General features: G+C 33.2%; 1 long non-coding RNA gene across 1 annotated transcript; it reads left to right on the top strand.

Annotated features, from left to right (window-relative positions):
• The first annotated feature begins 4,517 nt into the window (after positions 1 to 4,517).
• LOC124908060 (uncharacterized) lies at positions 4,518 to 8,090 on the top strand. Its single transcript, XR_007088685.1, has 2 exons — positions 4,518 to 4,635; positions 6,050 to 8,090. It is a non-coding gene; the product is annotated as an uncharacterized LOC124908060 (long non-coding RNA).
• Positions 8,091 to 8,337: the final 247 nt, after the last annotated feature.

Here is an 8,337-nt window from a genome sequence, read left to right as displayed (position 1 = left end):
ATCACAGCTTCACCAGGGACCATATACATTGCACACTTCGTAGAAAGAAAATTCAAAGTACGGGTTCAGGCAATTATCTGAAAATGCATAGACATAAATGTTTCTGGACAGAGAGATATATTTTGACGTAAATAGCTTCTGGAGGAAGAGTTGATGGGAAGTGTGTCTTTCAATGTTTAATCACTTCTTGATGAATTCTACTATTTCTGCAGTCAGATAAACTTATCTATTTCTTTTCCATAGATGCAAACATGAAGTATTGGTAAACATCTATATTACAATGATCTATATATTACAATGATCCTTTAGACGTTTAAAGTACATTTTTATTCATGGTCAAATAATACCATCACAGATTGATCTTAATAATTAAACATATATTGAGGTTTTAGTATTAATGAAATGCTATACTGTTTTTCAAAAGATATTATGTTCAATTTTAACCACAATCCTAGAAATAATATATTATCCTTATATTACATTTGATACTTAAAATGGTTGGGGCATTTTTCCAAGATGGTGCTTACATCCTCTAAGAGGCACTCATCAGATGAAGAATTTAAAACTTCATCTTATGGCTCTAAAGACAGTATTCTTAACTACTTACTGTGTTTACCATACCCACTCGATAGAAAAAAAAAATGTAATCTTGAATTTATATTAAAGATTGCTTTGTTTAGTAGGCAAATCTCTTATTTTTTATATGTGATAATCAGCTTTAACATTTCTAAGTTTTTTTACATTTTCAATAGGGAAGAATTTTATGATACTGAATAAGTATCATTTAAAAAATTTTAAGAATATTTTGTTTTGTTCGTGTATTATGATATTTTTTCCAGAAAAAGAAAGACTGTAACATTAAAAGTACACTTCAATATTTAGCTGCAACCCTGTTTCAGAAATTTTAGAATGTAGAAGGCAGTGTTTACAGCAATATAATACTGTACATATAAAATCAAAATAAAAGAGTAATGATCAGGCTTATAACACATTTCTAAAATCCAGACACTGACAGACTCTCTCCTTCACCAAACTTTAGTCCTCTGAGCCCTCTTCTTAATGATGTCTCGAACTTGAATTCATTCTTGATAGGCCCGCATAGCTTAGTTGTAGTTAAGAATCTTGTTCCAAAAATAGAAGGAAATTCTCCCTAGCTAATGCCACGAGGCCAGTAACATCATTATATGAAAACTAGAAAAGGGCATGATAAAAAAAGAAATCTACAGATCAATATCACTGATAAACACAGATGCAACTATCCTCAACAAAATATGAGCAATCCAAATCCAACAGCATATCAAAAAGATAATACACCATAATTAAGTGGGCTTTATACTAGACATGTAAGGAGAGTTCCACATCTGCAAACCAAGAAATGTGATACATCATATAAACAGAATGAAAGACAAAACCATATAGTCACCTCAATAGATGCAGAAAAAGTATTTGATAGAATTCATCATCCCTTCATGATAAAAACTCTCAACAAACTTGGCATAGAAGGCGCAAATCTTAGAATAACTAAGGCCATATTCAACAAGCCCACAGCCAACACCATGCTGAATAGGGAAAAGTCAAGAGCATTCTTGGAAAGAAGTGGAACAAGACAAGGATGCTCACTTTCACCATTACAATTCAGCATAGTACTGGAAGTCCTAGCTAGAGCAATTAGGTAAGAAAAATACAAAAATAAAAGGGATCTAAATTGGAAAAGTGGAAGTCAAATTATTCCTGTTTGCTAATGACATGATTTTATATTTGAAAGAACCTAAAGACTCCACCAAATTCTTTTGAATTTGATAAATGAATTTAGTAAAATGGCAGGTAGCAAAATCAAAACCAGTAGTGTTTCTACACACCAATAATGATTTACAAGAAAAAAAAAACATCAAAAATTGGGCAAAGGATATGAATAAACACTTCTCAAACGAAGACATTTATGGAGCCAACAAACATGAAAAAAAGCTCCTCACTTGTCATTAGAGGAATGCAAATCAAAACCACAATGACATACCATCTCAGGCCAGTTAGAATGGCAATCATTAAAAAGTCAGGAAACAAAAGTTGCTGGAGAGGCGGTGGAGAAATAGGAATGCATTTACACTGTTGGGAGTGTAAATTTGTGCAACCATTGTGGAAGACAGTGTGGCAATTCCTCAAGGATCTAGAACTAGAAATACCATTTGACCCAGCAATTCCATTACTGGGTATATACCCAAAGGATTAGAAATCATTCTTCTATAAAGACACATGCACACGTATGTTTATTGCAGCACTGTTCACAATTGCAAAGACTTGGAATCAACCCAAATGCCCATCAATGATAGACTGAATAAAGAAAATGTGGCACATATACACCATGGAATACTATGCAGCTGTAAAAAAGGATGAGTTCATGTCCTTGGCAGCAACATGGGTGAAGCTGGAAACCATCATTCTCAGCAAACTAACAAAGGGACAGAAAACCAAACACCACATATTCTCACTCATAAGTGAGAGTTGCACAATGAGAACACACGCACACAGGGAGGGAAACATCACATACTGGCCTGTTGGGGAGTGGGGGGATAGGGGAGGGATAGCATTAGGAGGAATACCTAATGTAGATGACGGGTTCATGGGTGCAGCAAACCACTGTGGCACGTGTATACCTATGTAACAAACCTGCACAGTTTGCACATGTATCCCAGAACTTAAGGTATAATTTAAAAAGTGTTTTCTATATACACACACATATTTTAGATGCTAATGGTGCCATACAAAGATCATTAGACAATTTTTATGATGTTCCATTTAGAAAATATTAATATTTTTATAATTCTTGAACTGTCATTAATGAGCATTCAAATTATATGAACACAAAATGTTTTACCAATCCAAATCTTACCTCATACAAAGCAAAGATCTATTCAAAAATTATATTATGACTTACTCTATGTATAAGCCTATAAATCAAATTGGCATATTTTATTCATGTCTGTGTTTGTTACTATGGTACTCAAATATAATTGTATTATAAATACTAATAGGACTTATGAATACATACATCATATGTCTGCATATTTAGGTAATATGTCTCTATATTATATCACAATCAGATAAAGTCATATTTTCTTAGAATGAATTCTTTTATCATTTGCTTACTTTGTTTCAAGTTTAGGGATTCAATTACAATCAGTCTTTAAATGCATGGCTTTCCTTAGGGACCAACACTAAATTCCTATTAGGCAAAATTCTTTTTTTTTTGAGATGGAGTCTCACTCTGTCACCCAAGCTGGAGTGCAATGTCACGATCTCGGCTCACTGCAACCTCTGCTTCCTGGGTTCAAGCGATTCTCCTACCTCAGCCTCCCGAGTAGCTGGGATTACAGGCACCTGCCATCACGCCCGGCTAATTTTTGTATTTTTAGTAGAGATGGGGTTTCACCGTGTTAGCCAGGATGGTCTTGACCTCCTGACCTTGTGATCTGCCCACCTCGGCCTCCCAAAGTGCCGGGATTACAGGCATGAGCCACTGTACCCAACCCCCTATTAGGTAAAATTCTAATGACTAAATGCATCAAGAATTATATAATTATGTTTATATTTCAAAGTTTTTTGTGACATTATTGTTAGGTATTGAGAAGGAAATTTTCACCAAGATGCTCTGCAGTCTTCATAGCCAAATCTTATTAATCCACCATGATTAGTTCATAGATCTCATTTTAATCTGTTTCATACTCTTATGGTTTTAAAAGGACCAAATAGCAGCATTTTCTGATTTCACTTTACAACAGGGTCTATTCCCTTCAAGCCCTCTGTTGTTAATAAGCAATGAAATGACTGAGAAATGAACAATGGAAAGGCCAGAAATAAAGGTAACATATAATCTCAAAACTTGTTCTATCATTGATGGGCATTTGGGTTGGTTCCAAGTCTTTGCTATTATAAACAGTGCTTCAATAAACATACGTGTGCATGTGTCTTTATAGTAGAATGTTTTATAATCCTTTGGGTATATACCCGGTAATGGAATTGCTGGGTCAAATGGTATTTCTGGTTCTAGATCCTTGAGGAATCGCCACACTGTCTTCCACAGTAGTTGAACTAATTTACACTCCCACAAATGTGTAAAAGCGTCCCTATTTCTCCGTAGCCTTGCCAGCATCTATTGTTTCCTGACTTTAATAATCACCTTTCTGACTGGCATGAGATGGTATCTCACTGTGGTTTTGATTTGCATTTCTCTAATGACCAGTGACGATGAGCTTTTTTTCACGTTTGTTGCCACATAAATGTTTTGTTTTGAGAACCATCTGTTTATATCCTTCTCCCACTTTTTGATGGTGTTGTTTGTTTTTTTCTTGTAAATTTTGTTAAGTTCCTTGTAGATTACAGATATTTGACCTTTGTCAGATGGATAGATGGCAAACATTTTCTCCCATTCTGTAGGTTGCCTGTTCACTCTGATAATAGTTTCTTTTACACCATGGAATATCATGCTGCCATAAAAAATAATGAGATAATGTCCTTTGCAGGGACATAGATGAAGCTGGGAGCCATCATACTCAGCAAACTAACACAGGAATAGAAAACCAAACACCGCGTGTTCTCACTCATAAGTGGGAGTTGAACAATGAGAACACATGGACACAGGTAGGGGAACATCACACACCAGGGCCTGTCTGAGGGGGTGGGAGGCAAGGGACGGGAGAGCATTAGGACAAATACCTAATGTATGTGGGGTTTAAAACCTAGATGACAGGTTGATAGGTGTAGCGAACCACCGTGGCACATGTATACCTATGTAACAAAACTACACTTTCTGCACATGTATCCTGGAACTTAAAATAAAAAAATAAAAAACAAGCAACAAAGGAAGGTCTGATAATGATTAGCTTTCTAGAAACACCCGGATTTTTAGGGCAGAAACGTTAATAACTGTTAAAATAAAGGAGAAGCTATTATGAAAAAAATCTCAAAACTGGAAAACAAAGTTGACAAGATATCCCCAAAGCTATAACAGTGATGTATTTTTCCTTTCATAAGAGGAAAGCCTGCCTTCTTTGCAAAGCATTTAAAATGTATTTTACTTGATGGTGAAAGCAGAGATAATTTTGTAGAATTATATGTTTAGGGTTCAAAGGGACATTTCGGATAATCTGTGCCAATGTCTTGCCTACAAAGATAAGAAAATTCAGATTGAACATGGTTATGTTGCCCAAGGTAATTATTGGAGTCACTCAATGGACTGCTTCTTCTATTGATTTTTGGAACACGTGTCATTGACTGTTCCTTTACAGATGTCTTTATCATGTTGCTTCTCTCGTTACTTGTGTTTTTTCTTTCCTCTAAGTCTTCCTATTCATTCTCTCCACCAAATATATTAATGTCACATCATATACAAAAATAAATTTTGTAGAGTTTTGTAATCCTGTTTTTAAAATAGTACTTTTCTTGATATTATATAAATATGATAAATGTTGTTGTTAAAAGTGGGAAAATGGCAAAAAATCAAACATGTGAAGTATTTGCTATTGTGCATAGATTTATTATTTAGCTATGTTAAATATATCCCATCTCCACAATTAGACCAATGCTTATATTAGGAAGGAAACTTATATGTGAAACCAAAGTGCACCTTCGATTATGATTGATTATATAATTGATGAACACCTTGTAGGCATTCATACATTTTAGTGACTCATTAATTTATTAGAAAACTTTTTTACCTCTGAAAAATCTATGCTCCATTAATGTACATTTGAAAACACTACTTAAAACAACTATTTAACACAAAAATATATTTACCATTCTTTCTAGCTAAAATAAAAACAATGAAATCCTAAAATAAAAGGACAATGGAAAATTGAGCTGTAGCTAAATATTTAAATTATCTTAGACTCATGACTTGAAAAGTGTCTTAGAAATAATCTAGTTCAATATCCTACTTCTACTTCAATATTGCAATTAAGGTATTCCAATTCAGTGTTTAGCCTCTACATGACACTCAGCAGATTAAAATAAAAATCTGACTACCTTTTCATTATGTATTTTGCATTCATTGTAGATTTGCTGTCTGGAGAGATATATGAAATTTAAAGATGGCAATCCATTCCCTTCCCATCATGCTTCTTTTTCTACAGGTAAGCATTTTTCATTTCTCTAACTTTCCAACTCTTCTCCCATATCCTAATATTCCAAAGCTTTATCATTCTATTTATATATCTTTGCACACACTTTTTTTTTATTTCAATTTGATCCTTAAATTGCGAAGTTCAAACTAAGCATAATGCATTAGGTACATTCTTACTTAGAGCAATGTGTGGGCAGCACTGGATTTTTCTGGGCATGCGTTTGTCGCAAGGCAACTTAACTTCAAATTAACTCTTATTAGAGACATACACTTTTATGACTAATAGTCTTCTTATAATCACGCCATCTTCCAGTGTATACTTACATGATTTATTTACTTTTTAAATCTGAAAATAGAATATTATACTTTTTCTAAACACGATGAAATGAAAACAAGACATATGATTTATCCTAAAAGAATTGATGAGCCAGTAGGGGGCACACAGGAAACATCTAGGAAACACTACACTGTGAAATATTCACTTAAATGAATGAACCAAGTATATTGCAAAGGAGAATTAAATAGATACCTTAATAGAGACAAATAACATGGTATAGCAGAAAAAGGAAAAGAGTTTCATTTCCACATAAAATTTCAAGAAAGTTTTTATTGCATAATAAATTTTACTAAGTTTGGAAGGAAAAAATATAGAAGCATTGTATTGCATTATTGTTTTTGGTTTATTTGTTTTTCTCTCTTATTTGATCATGTTTATTTTATAGTAGAGACCTAACCTAATATTTAATGTCTTTAATACCAAATATAGTGCCTAGCCTAGTGCAGTTATCATATTCATGTTGAATTAATGAGTAAATGATGGATATTATTGGAAAAAGATACAAGGTTAGAAAAATGTTAGTAATAAAATGACATGGTAGATTCTTTGTTTACTGTAATTTTAATGCAGGTTTCATGAGGACCTTGGTTTTCAAAAAAGACCATCAAAAGGTCAGTTAATGTCAACATAATGGCAGTTGTGTTTGCCATGGTAAGAATGTTACTGTGTGGAGGTAGGAGATGATCTTAAAGACAGGTGTGACATGATAGGCATTGTCTTCTATGAATATGCTACTTAGTAAGGAAAAGGATACACTTGAAAATTTAAATAGAGTGGGAAGATGAGATCAGAAACTATTGTAATCATGAAGACAGAATGTAAAGGGTCAGAATTAGGGCAATATCACAAGACATTTGTAAAAAGTTTTATTAGATATAATTCACATCATAAAGATTCAGATTACAGATTTCCTGGATGACTTTTTAGTTGAAATGGTAGGAAAACAGAAGTTTAGAAATCTACCCTGTGTATCTGAGAAGACTAATGTGACTCAAGAAAGTCCTGATGTTCAATACCCTATTTAGTGTATTAAATGCAATGAATTTTTCTAAGTAATTCTTGTATTACATTTATATGTACTCAAAGGTAAGGTATTTCTTTTCCTGTGTTCCTGGTCATCAATTTATTTATTTATTAATTTAGGAAAACATTTATTTAGTCACTCATTTAAACTATATGTTTTAAACCGTTGTAGACTATAACACCACAATGGGGTACCAGACAGCTATATTCTACATAAAATTGTTTTCAAAGTTTCCTGATGTCAATTTATCTTCCAGAGAAACCCAGAAAAGGGGGAACTATTGAATTTCTATCCTGTTAACAATAACTTTCACTAGGTTTTTCTCAAATCCAATGCCTACAAATTGCCCAGACTCTCTTCTGAGCTATCCAACTATATCCCAAATCCCCAATAAAACAATAATTTGAATAAATATGCTATTGGATATAGTGTATATTTATAAACTATGATAGTATCAAACAGGCTTACAATTTTTGTTGCTTGTTAATGCAGTTTTTGAATTCTTTAACTTATATGATATAAAGAGAAGCGATTTCTGTAGAATTTCATTCTCCCGAAAATGTATCTTATGACACACTGAATGAAAAGCAATAAACACACTGTTAAGCAGAAAATTTCTGTCATTTATTTGTTTTCTCTTTTGTCTCAGAAGAAAGTCAAAATATTCGGTTGCTACATTAACAGCTTATTACAAGATCAGAGAGCAAAACAATCTAGAGATTTATTAGCACATACTAAAATCAGAGAAGTGTTTGTTTCATTTTGTGATTCAACCAAATGAAAGTCCATCATAGGTTTGGCACAAAATCTGCGCTTATAATGTTAGTATGCTCATAATAGTCAGTAAACACTGAGTAATAG

Source organism: Homo sapiens, chromosome 2 (genome assembly GCF_000001405.40).
Source record: "Homo sapiens chromosome 2, GRCh38.p14 Primary Assembly".
Taxonomy (NCBI): Eukaryota; Metazoa; Chordata; class Mammalia; order Primates; family Hominidae; genus Homo; species Homo sapiens.
This window is presented reverse-complemented; position numbering and strand designations above follow the sequence as displayed.